The sequence below is a fragment of the Homo sapiens genome, chromosome 8 (genome assembly GCF_000001405.40).
Source record: "Homo sapiens chromosome 8, GRCh38.p14 Primary Assembly".
Classification (NCBI taxonomy): Eukaryota; Metazoa; Chordata; class Mammalia; order Primates; family Hominidae; genus Homo; species Homo sapiens.
In genome coordinates this window covers 47,379,930-47,400,956 of record NC_000008.11, presented here as the reverse complement: position 1 = coordinate 47,400,956, position 21,027 = coordinate 47,379,930, and the positions used below count along the sequence as shown (strand labels likewise).

Sequence of the window (21,027 nt, the reverse complement as noted above, 5' to 3'; positions counted from 1 at the left end):
GCCTGCCTCGCTAGATTGGGGCAGTTCTCCTGGATAATATCCTGAAGAGTGTTTTCCAACATGGTTCCATTCTCCCTGTAACTTTCAGGTACACCAATCAGACGTAGATTTTGTCTTTTCAAGATATAATAAGCACTGTGAAAAACAACTTGACCATCAAACTGGGGAGATATATATAGCTTTATTATTACCAACACACTTAAATATCTAACAATTTTGCATTGGTGTTTGTTACTTATGCTTTGAATAGTTCCACAAATTTAAAAAAAAAAAAAAAAAGAAAGAAAGAAAAAGAAGTCCAAAGAGACTGAGTGACATTTCCTGCAGGGCAAACCAGAAAGAGAAGGGCCAATGTGCTCCATCCTTCAAATGTCAACTACCTCTCTCAATCCTTGCTACCTGGTCTTTATCAGGTAAAAAAGTTCTTTTTAATCACCACAAACCACCATCCCTTCATCAAAAGCAGACAAGGCAGTCACAGGCCTTTCTAGTCAGCTCAGTAAAACAGGAAGTCTTCCAGTTTGAAGACCTGAGACTAACAACCCTAAGCACATCAATCTCATTTTTAGTATTTAAGCATAGTAACTTCAAAACAGACATCCTCATTTAGTTGTTCCTAGAAATCACAAGAAGAAAATGATCAATTGCATGCTGTTTGAGCAGCTTCAGCCACTTCTAGGAACGTCCCCTCCACCTTCTGTTGAGGACTCCCTGACAGTGACCTGACCTTAAACAGCACTGTGTTGTCTCCCCTACCCTCTCACTGGGCCTGAAAGGCCAGGAAGGATGGCCTTGCTCTTCACTGCAGCTTCAAGACCATCTGGTAGCCTCCCTTACGTTCCAGCTCCAACTCAGCCTGCCCAATGCCAGGGAAGGCAACTGGCACTGACCTGCCACCCTTAGAGGCCTTATCTCCTGGGTTATGGCCACCATTCTTGCTGATGTCAGTGCCCGCCCAGCTCCAAGATGGTGTCCTCCACTCGCCTCAGCCACTCTAATCTTGAAGTCCCGAACTGCCTCCCTCCAGCGGCTCAACTCTGGGCGCCCGTCATCGTTACTGCCCCAGCTCATCACCTCTAGTAGCGTTACTCTGTAAGTGTTTGACCAACCTTTTCCCCAGTCCTCAATCAGTGAGTTCTACCCCAACTCACCATGCTCCACATCCTGCACATTCTCATTCTCACTTTACCCAGCTTAGGCTTCACGGGTCATTATTATTGCTACTCTCGGAACTCCTGTCAACCCCTTTTAGTGTGCCCCTGGACCATCCTTGTGCTCTGCCCACATGGGCAGCCCAAGGGTCGAATCCACACTGGCTGATAGGTCTCAAACTCAGTCCATGACCACGACTTCCCAACAGGGCCTGATCCTGTCAGACAGCCCTGGAGCCCTTCTCCAGTTCATCTGTCCCCACTACATGCCCGTGTCACAGATTCTCTCTCCTCAGACCTCCACAACTCCGTTCTCATCCTCCCTGTCAGCTAATGAAGGACTGCCCTATTTACTGGAATAGAATTGATCGGAAAGAACTAGTTCCCAAGCCAGATACATGTGCCTGTAACAGCAGGGACTCTGCCTTCCCAGCTGTCCGTGGATGGCCTGTCTGCTCCTCACCAGGTCCATCCTGGCACCTGCATGGGTGCTGCCCGCCCTGGCCATGGGTGCACACTCTGAACTCCTGACAAGGTCACCCCCATTTGTGCCTCCCTTCACCACGACAGAGACAACTCCATCAGTTGTCCCCTCCCTCCCCTGCCTCAGCAGTTTCCTGTTTTCTCCTGGACTTCCCTATCAACATACAAACATGATGAAATTTCTATCACCTTTAAAATAAGAAACCTTGACCCTCACATTCACTTTCAACTAACACACTTTGATCTGCTCTCCTTAAAGCAAAACTTCTCCAGAGTTCCATCGTGCTGTCTTCAGTTTCTCTCTTTCCATTCTCTCGAGTCCATGGCAGTCTGCTTTGCCTGGTCACGCCGCTGAGACGGCTGCACACCCTGCCTTTCACCGTGGAATCACAGAGGTCAGCCCTGGCAGCATCTGTCACAGTGGGTCACCCTCTCTCCTCACTTGCCTCAGCACACCATGCTCCCTTTGCTTTGGCTCCTCCCTCAGCAGTCTCTCCCTCCACACCCCAACTTTGGCAGAGCACCCAGGACTCAGGCCTTGGACAGGTTCTCCTCTCGCCCAGCACTGGATCTCCTGTGACCTGACCTAGCTCATGCTTCAAAAGATCTGGACACTGCAGTCTACGCATTCACATCTCCAACGCCAGGCCTGCCCGTGGACTGCAGACCCATAGTCCCACTAAGATGTATAATGTCTAACTGAAAATGGCCAAAAGCCTCATGATTGTCAACCAAAGATACAAAACCAAAAGCACCTGCTCCACTGCACACTCCATTCTTCCAGCTGCTCAATGAGGCATCTCCTCAGGGCTTCCCTGAGTCTGTTTCAAACTGAAATGTCCTCCCCCACCTCTGGACCCTTTTCTGTCCCCCTTTTCTGCTTTTTCTCCATAAAATTTCTCTCTCTGAGTTGACATCTATTTTACTTCTTGGCTCCTTATTGCCCTTCCCTCGACACAAGCGGGGCTCCATTCACCTTTGCTCTCTGTTATGAGCAACCATTCCACTTTGCTTGCTCCTGTGCATGAACAGTGCTTGGCAAGTGGTCGGCCCTCAGCAGGGCTGGGGACATGACTTTCTGTAATCGCATGGCATCACCTTCACCAACAAAAACATGCTAATTCCTTTAATGGGCTTCCCTCCCTTTCTTCCCAGAGACTATTACAAACCACCTTCTATTACAAATTACATTCTACTACTATTACAAATTACATTCTTTTTTTGAGGCCACAACTTCTTCGCTTTGGGCATAAGGCCTCCTGTCTCGTGGTGAGTAGGCACAAATGGATCTCTGTGCCCTGACCATCCCACTAAACTCGGCCACATCCTCAAGCTCTTTCCTCCACTGGTGTCTTCAAGCTGGGGCTCTCCTCTCCACCTTCCTTCCCTACCTCTTCTCCAGGATGCTGATGTAGCCATGGTGCGAACTCTGTTTATTCGGACCCCCACTGTTTTCAAAATCTGTCTCTCCTATTCCCTGCACCCTCTCTAGAGGCTGGATCTTTTCAAGGTGACTGGCAATACGGAAGAGAGTAATCGAAACCCTCCTGCCTGGGTCCCAGTTCCCACATAAGAGCCATGACCCTGTCGTCACTCCTTGAACCGTGTGCTACTTCAGCCACAGACCCTGGGCTCCCCTCAGTGCATGCCAGGCTGGTCTTCTTATGATGTAACAATATCATCCGTGGATCCAACACCTACGCTCTTCATGATCATATTTACTCTTTCTACTGAAACTCCTTTGCTTTGAAATGCTCTATTACTTTTGCTTTTGTGGCAATGCTTCCTACAGGTTCTCTTTCTTTCTTTTTTTTGTTGTTGTTTTTAGAGACGGAGTCTTGCCCTGTTGCCCAGGCTGGAGTGCAATGGCACGATCTCAGCTCACTGCAACCTCCGCCTCCCAGATTCAAGCAATTCTCCTGCCTCGGCCTCCTGTGTAGCTGGGATTACAGGTGCGCACCTCCACGCCCAGCTAATTTTTGTATTTTTAGTAGAGATGGGGTTTCACCATGTTGGCCAGGCTGGTCTCGAACTCCTGACCTTGTGATCCACCCACCTCGGCTTCCCAAAGTGCTGGGATTACAGGCGTGAGCCACCGCGCCCGGCCTCTCTTTCTTACCTTCATTGAGTCTTTGCTTGGCATTGTTTGGTCAAACAACAAAGAGCACCTTGTATTACACGGGGTTGGGGAAGGTCCCTACAGGCTCCTTCACGTTATCTTTCCTGCTTTGCTCACCATGGCCACAGCCCAGCCCCTGACTGACACTGTAGTTCATGGCACACCAGATACGTCTCATCTGTGGGTTCTGCTCTCTCATACTTTTTTGCACTTGCAAGTGTTGCCCTGGCAGATCTCTCTCATAAAAGTAATCTGACACGATTTACACATACTTCCATTTCCCTTTTTACATTATAAGTTACTCAAGAACAGAACAATTACACACTTGTCTCCACAGCACCTAGAACACTGACTCTCAATAACATTTGATAACCCAAATAAATCTCCATTAAGAAAGGCAGTCACATCTGCTGGGCATGAGTAAAGCCATGACCCTCAACTTCGATGAACATTCCATTAATCAGCTCCAGAATTTAGGACTTCATATACAAGTATCTTAAAATTAACATTTTAGATATTTGGGTTTTTAAAGAAAGAGAAAAATTTAAAAAGAGTATTTAAAAGGGTATAATTTAACCTTAAAAGCTTCTTCTTTGCTGAATTTTCTGGAGTCCTGGGAAACTTAGCTGTGGGTTTCTGAGGTGTATGCAAAATGGTCTCTGTTGATTTTGTCCTTGGATCTATCAGTCTCTCCATAATCTGTCTTGCATCCGATGCAAACTGCACGTGGTATTTGTGAGGGGATTCTGAATCAATGAGTAGGACATTTTCCAAATCATCTTCTTTTTCACTATCTGATGAATACTCTAAAATTTCTATAGAACTTGGCTGAAAAAAAATTAAAAGAAAGGCATATTTTTAAATACAAAGGATACTTTATTCAAGTCCACATTTATATACATCTATCATTCCATTCCCTTACAGTTACAGCTCTTGAAGGACCTTTTTGAATACAGTATCTGCAGCTTTAACTTCTGTTCTGACAAAATCCAAAAGTAACCAAGACAAAGATAAGAAGGGGTTAAATCAACTGTAAGCCAGACTTTATCTCACAGAACCCACAAAAATAAGTACAAATACTTCAATCTTCTTTCAGGAAACTACAAGACAGTACCACACATAGAGGCAATCTCCAAAACTGAACTAATAACACTCATCTGAAAGGCTGATGATCGTCACTACAATCTGACAGCTACTGGAAAGAAAGTATTTCTTGGATTTTGAAATTTAACATGAAGCTAAATTGTCTCTTCAGGTATAAATCATTTAATTTGCCAAAAGAAGTCCCCAAGGGTAAAGATAAAGACTTGACTCTCTCCATACAATTATATAATTATTTTCCAGAGACTAGTTTGAAATTGCAAATACCAACAGGAACTATTTAAGAATATGAGTCATTGTCTCCTTTTCCTAAGATTTCCTAAAATGTTTCTTTCTCCAACTCAGATTTCTAAACTTTCAAAATAATAATTTTTTGAAAACTGTATAATTATAAAACAAGAATTCATATCGTATGGCCAATAAAAAAGAAAAAAAATTATATGGCTAATTCTGGAGGGAAAAATCAAAACCTTTTCTGATGTTTTCTGTCTTTGCCAAGACACATGCCAAATTTAAAGCACAATAGGATTTTATTTTCCTGTTACTTGATTGTATAGGTCAATCCCATGTTATTCTGTGTCAGCAACAATTCATCCTTCAATATTCTAACTTCCAGTGCACTAAAAGTCCCATCTAATTCACTACCTAAATATTGGAGGTGGCACTAGAATTTACATCATTAGCAAATCTACATAAAACAAAAGGCCTTTTTTTCTGAGGATTATATGGTTAAATTCTTTCTTCTTTTTTCTTTGAGATGGAGTCTCACTCTGTCACCCAGGCTGGAGTGCAGTGGCATGATCTCGGCTCATTGCTACTTCTGCTTCTCGGGTAGAAGTGATTCTCCTGCCTCAGCCTCCCAAGTAGCTGGGATTACAGGTGCCCAGCACGATGCCCAGCTAATTTTTGTACATTTAGTAGAGACGGGGTTTCACCATGTTGGCCAGGCTGGTCTCGAACTCCTGACCTCAAGTGATCCACCCATCTCAGCCTCCCAAAGTGCTGGGATAACAGGCATGAACCACCAACCCCAGCCAAACTCTTTTTAAGAGTCAAAAAAAGGAACCATCCATCTCCATACCTCGTCAAAAAAACTGCTTGGGTAGTCACCTTCTATCAGGCACACTGAAAATAAGAAAAAGTAAATGTCTAAATTTCTAAAATAAATGCAGAGCTTAGTTCTACTGTCCTCACCATTTTAGTTTTGTGCCTAACTCACTCCAGGTACTTGTTAACCCATTAGTAACCATTGGGGCACAGATCTGCCTCACAAGAGAGATTGTGAATAAACAATCAAATTGGGCCACCAAGAGATCCAGAGCAGTTCAGAATGAAAATGAAGCTGACACTAAAACCCTTTACGTATTACTTAAGAACTCCATATTTAATTAACTTCATCTTTTCTGTTATGAGATGTCTTAAGTACCATAAAATTTTGCCCTTTGTCCTACAGCACTGTCTCTCAACCTTGGCACTCTTGACATTTGGGACTGGACCATGAGGTGGGCCGACGTGTGTGCAATGGGGTGCTTGGCAGCACCCTCGCCTCTCCCCGCTAGATGACAGGAGCACTGCCCCACCAGTCAGGACAATCAAAAAGGTCTCCGGAAGTTGCCAAATGTCCCCTGGGGGCAAAATCACCCCCAGTTGAGAACCACTATCCTAGAAATAAGTCAACAAATAACCAACCACAGGCGGCTTGGGCTGGGGACTCACGTGCAACCATGAAGAGGATTCATGCTGCTTGTGAGGATGGGGGAGGCCAGACCCAGATAGTTATGAAACACTGGTAGGAATGCTGCCATGGAGGTACTGCTGGGGCTCCAAGGAGAACACATAAGAAGGGCAACAAAGCCAAGAGGGGCACAGGGAAAGAGAAGAGTTAAGTGTCAGAAAAGGTCTGTTTCTGGCTGGGTGGGTGTAATCCCAGCACTTTGGAAGGCTAAGGCAGGCAGATCACTTGAGGCCAGGAGTTTGAAAGCAGCCTGGCCAACATGGCGAAGCTCTGTCTCTACTAAAAATACAAAAATTAGCCCGGTGTGGTGGCACACACCTGTAGTCCCAGCTATTGGGCAAGCTGAGGCAGGAGAATGGCTTTAGACCCTGGGAGGTGGAGGTTGCAGTGAGCTAAGATCACACCACTGCACTCCAGCCTGGGTGACAGAGTGAGAAGAAAGGAAGCAGGGGATGGGAGGGGAGGGGAGGACGAAAGACAGGACAAAGGACAAAGGACGGAAGGACGGAAGGAAGGAAGGAAGGGAAAGGGAGAGAGAGAGAGAAACAAAGAAAGGATGGAAAAGAAGGGAGAAGGGGAAGGGAAGGAAAAGAAAAGAAAGACAGAAAGAAAGAGAACGAAAGAATGAAAGGAAGGAAAGGAAAGGAAAGGAAAGGAAAGGAAAGGAAAGGAAAGGAAAGGAAAGGAAAGGAAAAAGGAAAGGGAAAAGAAAAGAGAAAAGAGAAAAGAAAAGAAAAAAAAAGAAAAGAAAAGAGGTTTGCTTCCCAGAATCTGGCACCTGAAGTTCAATGCTAAGTGTGGATTAATTAGGCAGAGAGAGGAGGGAAGGACATTCCAGGGAGAAGAAAGAGGAGGACCAAGATTCTGAGGCAGGAGAGAGCCACTGACAGCTTGACGCAGGAGCCAACAACCTCAGATGGTAATGTGGAATTGACCATTCGAACAACATTTGAATGGTGATACAGAGAGGGAGGAAACTACGCTGGTGTGGGGGAGGGCAGCTAGCTAGAAGGCTTTTCCATAGTCTAAGCAAGACATTGAGAGGATCTGAGAGGTAGTGGGAATAGAGAGGTGGACTGAAAAGAAAATGAGGAAAAGGATGCAATAACACTTGAGGACCAAATTCAACAGCAGGAAATACATTCAGGCAGGAGTTGCTAATATTCAAGCTAGTTTTGATGTGTGAATGTTGTGTGCCTATGGGATACCTGGGGAAAAACTGGTCAACAGGCAGTGGCTCTGCAGGTCTGGAGTTCTAAGAGTGATGTGGGATGGAAACACAACTTCAGAAATCATGAGAATCAGGATGTGAAGGCACGAGGGCTGGAGAAGACTATCTATGGAAAATTATGTGAAAGGAAGAAGAGAAGGTCCAAATTGGAACCTTGGAAATAGCAACAACATTCATGCTGTCTTCAGGTGACAAGAGACTGAAAAGTGTTCTGCATTTGACAAAAGAGAAATTGTACAGATACAATAAATCCATGGGACCTTGGTAAGAATGTGCCTTAAAGAATAAACGGAAGATAAAATGAAAACAGCAGACCTGATAATTTGTTTTAGAAAGTTTGGATAGGCATATTTAATTTTCTTTCCCAGAAAGGATGGCATAAAAAGGTACATGTGCTCAGCTGTGAACAACCTGGTACGACGATGCTTAAGTTAAAATCATGAAAACCATGAAGTCCAAATGAATTTCCTCAGTGAAGAATTTAACATCAGTAAGACTGGTAAGACTTAGCAGCTCAGGTAGTACTTCAAAATTCTCAGCATCAACCCATAACAAATTTTAGGTACCTTTGGCTTAAGCTATTGCTTCCTCAGTGAGAATTAGCTAATATCTAAGAATATACTGAATGCCAACTACCCACATGCTATGTTAGCTGCTACAGCAGTATAAAGAAATTTTCAAGTCCATCCTTGCTCTTGCATCCTTATACCCAATTTAAAAACTGAAGGAAAAACTAAACTAAAAATACAAAGCAAACATACCCTGCATACAGCAGATGTAGAAATGGAGAAGACCACTTGGAGTGGTAGTAGCCTAGAAGGTCCTTCCCCATAAAGGTGGTGTCTGACTCGAACACTGTTGTGGTCTCAGCCCTACTCCCTACTAGTGGGCTACCTTAGGGAATTTATTTAACTTCCCTAAGGTAGTTTCTTTGATGAGGTTGTTTCCCCATCTTCAAATTGGAGATGCAGTAATAAATGCTAACATATAAGCATTTAGCAAATGTTAGCTATGCTTTTTAGCCCATATAGTTTACATGTCGTTTGGTTTTAAATTTAATATTTTAAAATTTGTACTTATTTTTCTGTTAAAACTTTTTTCTTGGTTTCTTTTCTTTTCTTTCTTTTTTTTTTTTTTTTTTGAGACGGAGTCTGGCTCTGTCGCCGAGGCTGGAGTGCAGTGGCGCAATCTCGGCTCACTGCAAGCTCCGCCTCCCAGGTTCACGCCGTTCTCCTGCCTCAGCCTCCCGAGTAGCTGGGACTACAGGCGCCCGCCACTACGCCCAGCTAATTTTTTGTATTTTTAGTAGAGACGGGGTTTCACCATGTTAGCCAGGATGGTCTCGATCTCCTGACCTCGTGATCCGCCCGCCTTGGCCTCCCAAAGTGCTGGGATTACAGGCGTGAGCCACCACGCCCGGCCTTTTTTCTTGGTTTCTAAGAAGATTTCTATACAAAAGACAATGAGGAACACCAAGAATGTCTTCTGTAGACAACCAAAAAGACAAATACTGTCTTAACCCACAGAGCAAATCCTGGATTCTTCGTGTAGTCATTTTTTAATTAATTATTTACTTTGTTTGTTTTTTGTTTTTTTAAGACAGGATCTCACTCCGTTGCCCAGGCTGAAGTGTGGTGGCGTGAACACAGCTCACTGCAGCCTTGACTCTCCTGGGATTGAGTGATCCTCCCACCTCAGCCTCTCAAGTAGCTGAAGCTACAGATGTGTGCCACCATACCTGGCTATTTTTAAATTTTTTTTTGTAGAGACAAGGTCTCACTTTGTTGCCCAGGATGGTCTCAAATTCCTGAGCTCAAGCCATCCTCCCACCTCAGCCTCCCAAAGTGCTGGGATTACAGGTGTGAGCTGCTGCACCCGGCCCATGTAGTCATTTCTAACAGGAACCAAGGCAGAAGGAACACCTTTAGGAAAGGATAACTAGAAGCCATCATTTTAGCATATGGTATTTTAGAATATCCCCCACGTCCATAACCCCAGATGAACACGGAGGAACTCTCATACCACGGACAGAGAGGACCTACTGGCTCACCGGACACCAGCTGTCTTGGCCTAAGCCCGACTGTGAGAAACACACGATCTTTCAGAAAGGATATGTACAGGTGTGCATGTGTGCACAGACAAGTGTGTGCCAGAGAGGGTGGAAGAGAGAGGGAATAGTCAGAAATAGGTCAAAGGCAACTGCAGGTTCATAGGTTCAAGCTTATATTTCCTTTCTACATTGTAGAATCAGACTAACGAGAAAGGAGGGCCATAAGTTTTGGAACAAGACAGATTTGTTTTTGATCACAGCTCAACTGTTTAATTACTTTGTTACTTTGAACAAGTTGACTCCCCCATTCCCAGCTTAATCATCCAAAAATGGAAAAATTCTTTGAGAAATATTTTAAGATACAGATAATGACTATTTATTATGAAATATTTAACGGCACAGAAAGGTAGGAAAAAAAAATAACAAGTAGATGTACCCATCACCTTCTGTCAAATTTTAACACGATGCAAGTTTTTCTTTAGTTTTTTTTTTTTTTAATGGTATGGTTGATATGTCCTATATTTCTCTTTCTATGCCTGTTCTCCTTAGAGGCAACTCTCTCCTGAATTTGGCATTTCATTATTATCTGCTTTTTTTTTTTAATAGCACACATACAAATGAACTATTTTGCAAGGACACAGCAGCTGTAGATCATTAATTTTCATTGCTATAAAGTATTCTGACTATACCACTTTTTACTTATCTATTTCACTGTTGGTAGACACTTAAGAGTTTTGTAAATTTTCACATTAAAACAAAACTGTAACATGTGTGTACTATACTTGTTTCACTGGGCACATACATGCTAGCTTCTCAGTGGTATACACTAGCCCAGTGGATTCTTGGACAGTCCATTCTCAACTACACTGGCAACTGGGAGATGGCTCTGTAGAGACCCTGTGCTGACAGAAATGCCCATCAGCAGTGTTTGAAAGCTGTGGCACATTATCAGCATCACTGAGTAATTTTAAACTTTTAAATGTATACATATCTGATGGGTGTGAAATGTTTTATCTCTCCTACTTAAGTGTGCACATCCCAGATCATTCACAGGGTTGAGCCTCTTTGCACTTGTTAATTGGCTCTTCACATTTCTTCCTGTGTGTTCATATCCTTTAACCATTTCTCCAGTAGGAGAGAAAATGAATTTTTCAATCATCTGGATCTATGTGTTCCATAGAGAGAAGGTGGTCAGAAAATTGTTATTAAAATTTTAAAGTGACAGAAGAAAGACCCGGTATACACCACTGACATCTTTCCCAGTACCTTAAAAACATCAACCACATTTCTTAACCACAGTTATTCCTGATAGGTTGCCTACTGCTGCCACATGGTGACCCAATGTACTTGGGCGAAATTTTTGTTCCATGGAAACTTTTTTTTTTTTTTTTTTTTTTTGAGATGGAGTCTTGCTCTGTCGCCCAGGCTGGAATGCAGTGGCACCATCTCAGCTCACTGCAAGCTCTGCCTTCCGGGTTCACGCCATTCTCCTGCCTCAGCCTCCTGAATAGCTGGGACTACAGGTGCCCACCACCACGCCCAGCTAATTTTTTGTATTTTTAGTACAGACGGGGTTTCACCGTGTTAGCCAGGATGGTCTTGATCTCCTGACCTCGTGATCTGCCCGCCTCGGCCTCCCAAAGTGCTGGGATTACAGGTGTGAGCCACCGTGCCCGGCCGGAAACTTTTATCCTTTACCAAATCATCCTTACAAAAAAAATTACTTTGCGCAAATGATGAATTTCAAGAACAAAGATTTAAATTTGTTTTTCTTTTAAAACACTTACATTTTCCATATTTTTCCTATTTTTGCAAAGGTAACCAACTGATGCCCTCTTGAAACTTTCACAGATTACTTCCTTCAGATATATAGCCCAGTTACAGAAATAATACAGATGAGTAAGTCAGGATCTTTTATAGCATTAAAACATCTGCAATGGTCAAATGCACAGAGCAAAGAATGACTATGTAGCTATTATCATAATCTGCTAATGTTTAAATACAATAAAGTTATTATCATCAGGACTTTTTTTCCTCCTTGATGTAAGCAAGTTTGGGAGGAGGAGTCTTCTGATTTAGTGAGTAAATATCACAAACAACAACACTGGCATGAGGCAAGGAGTAGTTTTTATGAAGCCAGTCAACAAAGACAACAGTCTGGTCCTATTTCCATTGCAATATACTAACATGACCTTGGTTGAAGCCATCTACAATTTCTCAAAACCATAAAGTATTCAATACTGGCTCCGTTTCCAAAGTTAGCAATACTGCTGTAGTACACATCTGTTGCAATTTATTTCTGACTCCTCTTTTCAGAGAACAAATATGTCTCTGTCCACAGAAGGAAACCCTTCAACCTCTGGCAGCCATGGGGTTATGGACATCTCACATCTCAGTGGCCATGTGTCTAGGATAAGACTTCTGTCAGGGGTCAGAGCTGATTGGCCTCAGGTAGACAACTGACCAATGCTAAGCCAATCAGATTTTTTTCCTCCAGATTTTGAACTGACGTAGAGTCTGGGAAGTGGAAGTTAAGCTACACTAATGACAAACCTCTAGACGAAAAGTCCATGAGCTCATGCTGGTGAGGTTCCCAGGGCTGCCCCAAGGTTCAGTTCATCCTTCAACTTCATCTTAAGTTACTCAAGATTTGCAGTACTGTTCTAGTGAATTTTCTCTTCTTTTAAAACCAGCTACATTTGGTTCCTGTTATTTGCAACCAAAAGGATATTTACCTGAAAAATATCTCCAAATAGAGAAAATATTAAATAAATATTTATTCAGTACACACCATGTACAAGGTATTATGGAATAGAGAAAATATGATGAGACACACTTCCATAAAGAGCTTGAAATAAAATAAAGCAGATATAAGTATGGCTCACACTAGTGCTCCAAATGGACAAAAAATGGAGCCCTTATTTCTGGTTGATCTAAAACCAGCAGACATAGTGGAAGAGGTAAAACCTATACTGGGTCTCAGAGGATTAGAAAATTCTCAACCGATAAAGATACAGAAAGAGAGAAGAAAGCACCTAAGGCAGGAAAGTACAATGACCTTCATGACCTACAGACGAGTCTAGACAACTGAGAGTTTAGAGTTCATACTGGGAGGCAAGAGACAGTGATGTGAAAAACATAATCCTATGGATTGGGTGAGGAGCAAGCTGTGGAGGATCTTGAATGTCAGGTTTAACAGTTTAGATATCACTGAAGAAAGCAGAAAGCTTTTGAAGATTTCCAAGTAGGCAAGGAGCATGAACTTGGAAGACACGTTGAGAAGACTGTTGTGGAGACTGCAAATGGGATGTATTTGAAGAAGGGAAATGCTCATGCAGTGAGTTACTGTAAATATCCCGGCCAACTTCTCTCCATTTCAGAGCTGCCCATCTTCCCTTAAAGGGTTCAATTCACATATTCACAAATATCTCAATACAACAAGTTCAAAATCAAACTCCTGATATGTTCCTCAAAACCAGTTGTTTGCCTCAGTATCACCTGGATCAATAATACCACATGCCACCTATGTGCAAGTCAGAAGTCCCTTGATATTCAATTCATGACTAAGTTTTACCTCTAAAACTAACAAGGATGTGCCCCCTTCTCTCCACCCATTCCCACCTGGCACCACAATGGCTGTGACTCATAGCTGGTCTCTTGCTCCACTCCTGCCCTCCTGCCAGGGTCTGCCCTACACACCACAATCAGAACAACCTAAGTCAGAGCATTCCATGCTCTTAAGATCCTATAAACAACTTCCCAGTACACCTAGGATGCCATTCAATGCCCCCCACCTGCCCTGTGGTCTCTAAGCCCTCAGGTGGCCCCTGCTCCCACCAGGCCTCCATTCATAGCTGTCTGCCTCCTCGCTGCTCCCCAGCGCTTCTGACGTGCTTTCAGGTTTCTACACTATATTCTTCCCTGCCTGTGGATGCCATAGCCCTTTCTGCCCTAGAATATGCTTCCTCATTCCCACCCCAAATCTTTCCCTAAGTCTTTCTCATGTTTCAAGGTTTCAGCTTAAATATCCCCTCATCACACAGGTCTGCCTTCAGCACCCTAGCAGAAATTGGTGAGTGCTGGGGCTGGGGCAACAGCAGTAAGTTCAATCTATATCTGTATCTATATCTATATCTATATCTATATCTATATCTATATCTATATCTATATCTATATCTATATCTCTCTCTCTCTTTCTCTCTCTCTCTCCCCTCGTCCCCCCACTTCCTCCTTATTTTCTGGAACATGAGAAAATTAGGCTCCCTTCAACTATAGTAAAACAGAAAAAATAACCACAACAATATCATCATCATCAAGTTCTTATACTAGGCTCCACCAGTTTTGAAATATTTATAAATGTATTAACTCATTTATTTCTCACAACTGAATGAAAAACAGTGATGGAAAACTACTCATTATATCTAAATATCAGTAACTGTACTGGGAGAGGCTGTCCTATACATGGGAACACATGAGGGATGACACTTCAGTGGCTTGCTCGAGCCCCCACAGCAATCCAGTAACAGAGGTAGGAAGCAGCCCACTTCCTACCACTCCTGACTCCACTCTTCCAAAATGCTGTTCCACCTCTCCAGGCATACACACCTGATTTCCTCAGTGAATCTCAAAGCAACAGTTAATAACTAGGAGCCTCAGTGTAACCAAAAAATTTTAAAATATACATATATAAAGTATATGAATACTTACGTCAAGTAGAATTACCCCATTAAATTTAAAGAATTTCCCTCAAGCTTTTTTCATTCAAGCAAGGAAAATTCTAAAAAAGAAAATAAATGAAGGGCAACTACACTTACCAAATAATAAATCATACTGTAGAACTATAGTTATTAAAAGCTTGGTACCAACACAGGAATAGACTATCCAATGATTGATATTCCTGAAGTATACCCAAATTGATATTCCTTAAGTATACCTACATAGAAATAAGATTGCATATAAAAATAATAAAAATAAGAGTGCAAAAGAAACTTACTTGGGAATAACTACCTATCCAGAGAGAAAAAAAAAGCTGGATCCCTCTCTATTTACACCAAAATCAATTTCCAAAGGATCAAAAAATCAAAATATTTTTATAAAGAACTAAAACAAAATATGGATACATTTTAAAAATAATTGTAAACTGGAGAAAGGTTTTTCTAGTATGACACAAAGTCCATAGAAGAAATGACAGACCACATAAAAATTTAACTGTGTCCAAAAATTTCCCCAAGTAGAAACATTTAAAAGAGAGCAAACTGGTAAAACAACAACAACAAAAGAGGACAAAAAAGAAAAAATCTGCCACAATTAACAAGCAGTTTGTTTTCTTTGATGTACAAAAAACTCCCATGAATCAATAAGAAATGGGAAGCCAACCCAATGGAAAAAATGAGCAAAATATGCAAAAAGGCATTCCAAGGAAACGTGATACAAACTACCAATACAAGATGATCAGTCTCCCTGGGAACCACAGGCCGGCAGAAGCACTTGGCCACTGACAGAAAGAGTGAATTCCTGTGACTGTGCTGGGAGACTAAAAGCAAGGTATGTTAAAACTTAAAATGTAAATACTTTTAACCTATCAATTCTCTTACAGGGTCTATTCATTCAACTGTCCAGACTCATATGTACATGAAGGCATAGCGTAGCATACTTTATATGTAAAGAACACCCAAAACCAAAAAACTGGAATCATCCATTAATCAAGTGCTGGTTATGGTATTTATACAAGAAAATATCATGCAGCCATTAGAAACAATGTGACAGATCCATAAGTCTTGATAAGAATACAGAAAATTACAAAACTAATGTATATATAGGAAGACCTTACGGGTGAGAAAAACAAAAAAATACAGAAGAACACATACAGATATTCTTATATACACAGAACAGTTCTTGAAGACTACACAAGAAACAACAATGATTAATTCTGGGAGCTGAGGTTATTATTCTTTGCTTTAACTACTGTTCTAATTGAAATTTTTTCCATAAGTATGTATTTTTTATTTAAAAATATTTAAAATTTAGTAAATTAAAAGTAGAGAGTATAAAAGGACCTAGAGGATCCAGACACTCAGGTGACAAAAGAGGAAACAAAACAAAACAAAATGGAGGGAGAAGGAACAAAAGAGAGAGACTGGCAAGAAGTGATCTCATGGGTAGGAGAGGACACATTATTTCAATCTGTTAAGTAACTAGGGATGTTTGTTCTCCCTTCAAAATGAGCAGAACAAGAAATAAATAAATATTTCTTAGGCCATCTAGATAAACAAAAATATATCAGTGGCCACTGACTTGAGTCGGCAATGGAATTTTTTAGCAGAGGATCTGAGTTCATGGCCTCCAGCCCAGAGGGTGAGAGGGAGGAGGAGGAGAGGACGGCAGGGGTGTGAGGGAAGCCCCGCATCTGTCTAAACTGGCAGCTGCTGCTCAGAGCGAACCGCCTCCCGCAATACAGGCAATCTGCCCAATAACTAGCAGAGTTTCTTCAAGGGAAGATAAAGAAATCTGAAACCTAAGTGAATTTTCCTAATTGTAAAATGTTTGCCACTAACTGAAAAAACAAAATGTTTTTAAACATGGTATAAGGGCACTACAGCCTGCGGATACCAGTTTCTATACAAATTACGCTGAAGTACTAAAAAAAAGAAAAAGTAATTTCTAATAATATTTCCAACTTTTCTTCAATGCTAGGTTTCATCAGTCTTACGTAACACAAAAGCTTTATTTTAGTAGTTTCAAAGTAAATAGAAAACCAGAAGTATCAGTAAAGCTATACTTTTTCAAAGGCTAACAAAAACGTACATATACAACTACACAAGAACAAAGATTTGAGAGTAGTTTCACCAGAAACATTGATGTTTTGCTTTACTGAGGGGGCTGGGTGGGCTTAAAAATGAGTGGTAAACTCTCATTCACTAATTAATTCAACAAACCAATACATGCTAATGTAGCCCTAAGAATTCAGTAGGGAAAAATGGAATCCTTCATAAACTGTTGTCATTTTTGTTCAGGTGAATTCTCTTTCCAGTTTTAGAGTTTTGTGAATGCATTACCAAAACAGTAAGTTGCGAGAATTAAATACCATATATCAAAACATGAACATTTTATACTAATAATACCTGGTGGTATTCAGGCCTAACAAGTTCACTGAAACCCTGCACTGCAAAAGGTGAACAGACTACCTGGAATTTCTGTCCTTGAGTCAAAAAGATAAAAGCAAATAATCAAAATGGCAAGCCCAAGCCTCCTTTCTACTAATTATAAAGATTATAGTTAAAAAACACAAATATATAGTTTTACTTATAAAAATAATTTTCTAAAGCATAAATTAAATACAAGTGTGTGCCTGCAGGTGGATGTATAGAAAGAGAGCACACAGGTCCTCTTGCACAAAGGCAAATAAATCAACAGAACCATCAGCAGTGGCGACAACGCTCTAAATCTATTTTCTTAGAATGATGATGAACTTGGGCAAATTCACCCACACTCATTAAATAGGGCTTTGAGACACTGGAGTCTGGGGGTCAGTGGTAAAGTCTGTGCATTCTGACTTGTCTCCACCTCCAACTCCACTGATGAAATGCTCTGGCAAATTAAGTTAATACAGCATTTTAATGTAGTAATTCAGCACACTGGCAAGTGCTGATTCATTTCCGGCCCATTACTTTAATAACTATTATTCTAAAACAGTTCAGTAACCAAATAGTACCAATGAAAACACTTCAGAGAAAGAGTCAGTTGGTTCAAGTGATATACTAGAAGAGGCCAAAGTTCATGCCAGCCAGGATAATGGTATTAATTGAAACAGATAAAATATTAGGGAGCAAAGAAAGAAGAAATAAAATACTATTTGGAGTTTTAAATGCTCAAGAGGACCAGCACAAAGACACAGAGCACCTGGCAGGAGGCTGGAAAAGCAGCTGTTTGGCAAAGAGACCATGGAGAAGAAAAGATCCCAGTGAGATGCCCCTGTGGTGGGTAGGGTGAGGATGCAGCAGTGCCCTAACTCCTGGGCTTCCAACAGTTCGGGGGCATTTCTACAGCTTTGCCTCACCACAGACAGCCTCCCACAGGCTGTATACTAGGAGTTAAAATGACTCCACAATTCCGTTTCTTTTGGGGATTCTTTATTTTGACAATCTGTAATACTGGGCAGTCAAAACGATAAGAAAAAGACCTATTGCTTCTCTAACTTGAAATCTTCCAGTTTTTTGGTAATGTATGCAATGGGGGGAAGTGGTGCATAAAAGGAGAAATGCGGGCATATACTTATAGGAGCTGACCAGAAAAAACAATTTTAAAATGCTACAATTCTCTAAAGAGGTGGATATTCAACAGTATCACTTTTTCTTTAAAAAAAATAACAAACTTCAGGCTGGGCCTGGTGGCTCATGCCTGTTAATCCCAGCACTTTGGGAGGCCGAGGTGGGTGGATCACGAAGTCAAGAGATCGAGACCATCCTAGCCGACATGGTGAAACCACGTCTCTACTAAAAATACAAAAATTGGCTGGGTGTGGTGGTGCACTCCTGTAGTCCCAGCTACTCCAGAGGCTGAGGCAGGAGAATCGTTTGAACCCAGGAGGCAGAGGTTGCAGTGAGTTAAGATTGCATCACTGTACTCCAGCCTGGCAACAGAGCGAGATTCCATCTCAAAAAAAGAGAAAAAACTTTAAATTTAAAAATTAATTAGCACAATGCTTTATATAATTCAATTGCTACTCTTTAAGCTAATGTTACTTCCTGTAATCTTACCTACACATTTCTTTATGAAATGTTCAGAAAAACTTCTTGTGATTGCCCTGAATACCTGAAGTGCTACCCTTGAACTGCAGTGTCCCAGTTCCTATCAATCAAATCTTAATCTAAGTCCATGTATGACAGTCTACACGTGTAGGGTCCTCCTAGATGAAAACCTGTGTCTGCTATCAAGTCAGGAAGACATTGAAGTCTAATTTCAAGATGAAGCAGTGCCTCTTTGGTATGAAACAAATTAGCCAGATGAAACACCATTCTTTAATGTTCAGAAATTAAAGCTCTTGATTCTAAAATTTATAGAAAGGTCACACCAAGAGCAATAATGGAATATCACTAATAAATTATCACATCCTTATTTTAAAATTACACCTTTGTAGCTAAATGCTACCCAGCTGGTAGAACAAAGGGAGGATGGTAACTAAACTAATATCATTATTTGAGATAACCAATCATAAGAAATAAAACTTCACTTGACTCATATTTCATGCAAAAACAAAAGTCTCAAGTCTTTGGTCTTGGCCAACATGCAAAGGCGTGCCACGGGGCGGCTCTGTGAGGACACCTTGTGCGCCTGGTGCCACGTGGGGCAGGTCCAGCTGAGCCCAGACTCGCAGGCCAGGTGAGCTGCCCATGCCACTTCCTGCCAATCGCTGGTTTCTGCTCTCTGAGGCCTCCCACCCAATTACTGACCAGGCCCAGACCTGCCCGAATAGGATCTTCTGAGAACACCCAGAGCAGTGTTATGCCAAGTTCACCCTGCCTATCCTGAGTTCAGCCTCCCTTTCTTAAAGTCACACTACAAACGAGCACAGTCAGTAGCACCATAAGGAAAGAACAAAGAGTCAGAAGGCCCTGGCTGCCTAGAAGCTTTTAAATCCCATACAAACCACTGTTTTAAGGAGGTTGGATGGTAAGAGCAACAACAAAAATGCTACAGAAGATACACCATGGCAAGTAAAATAATCAAAACCAAGACTGCTCTTCACACTGAGGGGAATGAAAGAGTACTGGTGGCTGACAGGTCAATAGATTTGGTTATCATATGCCTGCGTTTCCACTCTCACTTCTAAAATGAAATTTATTCATGTAACACATTAACTGAGTGCCTGTGTATCAGGAATCATTCTGGGTACAATGGGTACAGAGGGAGGGAAGGAGGGAGGGACCCAAAGTCTTTATCCACAGGTCTATTACCCCAGTGCAGCCATGGCACACATACACACATTAATTCATGTAGAATGCTCTCTGTTTACGCGTTAAGAACTTCACTGGTTGTGTGGAAAAGAACAGCAAAACAACACAAAATAAAGAGTATATTGGACTCCCAGTTGCTAACAAAATTTTATTTTCTATTGAATTAAAACCAATAAAGCAACACCAATTCCAGACAATAGAAAGGCTTAAGCCACCAATAAGAGATCTCCTTTCACTGTTTACATGGTGTGCTTTTTGTGACTGAAACTTTATCCGTGAAAATCAGCCAGCTAGTGAGAGGCAAAACAAAAGCTACAGGTTTTCTCATACATTCAAGGAAAAAAATATTTTCTGAGGTAAACAGGTTTAACAAGCTACACCCATAGTTACACCTCTGAAAACCACCTGGCTTGCCTTCCTTAAACTAGATACATGTTTCCAACCTCAGCTGCAGCTCAGTGAGAAGGAGAGAACTTAACTCAAACCTATGGACTGGCTTACAGAAGCCCCCTCCACCTATCGTCAGCCTGGCACCTGCTCTGAGGAGCCCAAGGAGAAATGACAGACAGCGGGGCAAGAGGGGAGGGGAATCACGAGGCTCAAGAAAGGCACCTGCCGGGTCAAAGTTCACCAAGCAGGAGTGGAGGGTGGAGAAGGCGGCAGTGACCAGGGCCAGGGGGCTCCACAGCAAACAGCAGGCCCCGCCCAGCAACACGGTCCTCCGAGGTCCTGACGCACCTTGTCTGCAGTGATCACAGATGAAAAGTACCCCCTTCTCCAAAAAAAAATAGTGTACACCTGTGGAATTCTGACACAAACTGTGATACGACCTGTCTGGCCATTCTGTGTGTTTTAAAACCTGCTCAGTGAGTGTGAGTCCTGAGCTGCTGCAAGGGAGCCTTCTGCCAGGCCCAGGCAGGGGCAGCACGCGTTGCTGTGGTGCAGGCTGAGAGGTCATCGACTCAGACCTACACTCAAAACCTGGGCCTCAAAATTAGTAGAAACAAACACGATGGCATGTTTTAAAAATAAATCTGTTCACTTATGCCCCTGGACCCAAGGCAAGACAGGTTGCTTCTGGTTATGAGCCAAGCTTTATTTTTATTCAAGGCAAAGAATTAAAATGCTACACAATGGGTGGGGAAAATGGAAGAAATTGAGAGAGAAGTCCTGAGAAGGTAGCAAATTTCAGAGGAATCAAGCC

The 21,027-nt window shown here is 42.0% G+C and overlaps 1 protein-coding gene and 1 long non-coding RNA gene across 56 annotated transcripts in view, besides 2 other annotated features; one reads left to right on the top strand and one right to left on the bottom strand.

The window, feature by feature from the left end:
- The window catches only part of SPIDR (scaffold protein involved in DNA repair), a 475,429-nt gene that overhangs the window by 335,350 nt on the left and 119,052 nt on the right, over positions 1–21,027 (bottom strand). For 32 of the 55 annotated variants that reach the window (NR_148202.1, NR_148205.1, NR_148204.1 and 29 more), the window contains one exon: positions 4,331–4,581. The exons of 16 other annotated variants lie outside the window; for them this stretch is intronic. Coding sequence is in view for 34 of the 39 variants with exons in the window: in XM_017013268.3 (XP_016868757.1) it covers positions 4,331–4,581 (251 nt within the window). In the remaining 5 variants the exon portion in view is untranslated. Of the gene's footprint in view, positions 1–4,330; positions 4,582–5,935; positions 5,980–12,423; positions 12,617–21,027 lie in introns of those variants that run through there. 7 more of the 55 variants (XM_017013270.3, XM_047421644.1, XM_047421642.1 and 4 more) reach the window with 2 other exon arrangements.
- Positions 15,350–21,027, top strand: part of LOC107986940 (uncharacterized) — a 30,305-nt gene continuing 24,627 nt past the window's right edge. The window contains exon 1 of the long non-coding RNA XR_001745888.3: positions 15,350–15,414. This is a non-coding gene — a long non-coding RNA (uncharacterized LOC107986940). The remainder of the gene's footprint in view (positions 15,415–21,027) is intronic.
- Positions 18,686–19,221: an enhancer, noted in NCBI's record as "H3K4me1 hESC enhancer chr8:48294300-48294835 (GRCh37/hg19 assembly coordinates)". NCBI's record gives its function as "activates a minimal SCP1, AML or CMV promoter by ChIP-STARR-seq in naive H9 embryonic stem cells {active_cell/tissue: H9 hESC(naive)}" and the evidence as "EXISTENCE:reporter gene assay evidence [ECO:0000049][PMID:30033119]".
- Positions 19,222–19,758: an enhancer, noted in NCBI's record as "H3K4me1 hESC enhancer chr8:48293763-48294299 (GRCh37/hg19 assembly coordinates)". NCBI's record gives its function as "activates a minimal SCP1, AML or CMV promoter by ChIP-STARR-seq in naive H9 embryonic stem cells {active_cell/tissue: H9 hESC(naive)}" and the evidence as "EXISTENCE:reporter gene assay evidence [ECO:0000049][PMID:30033119]".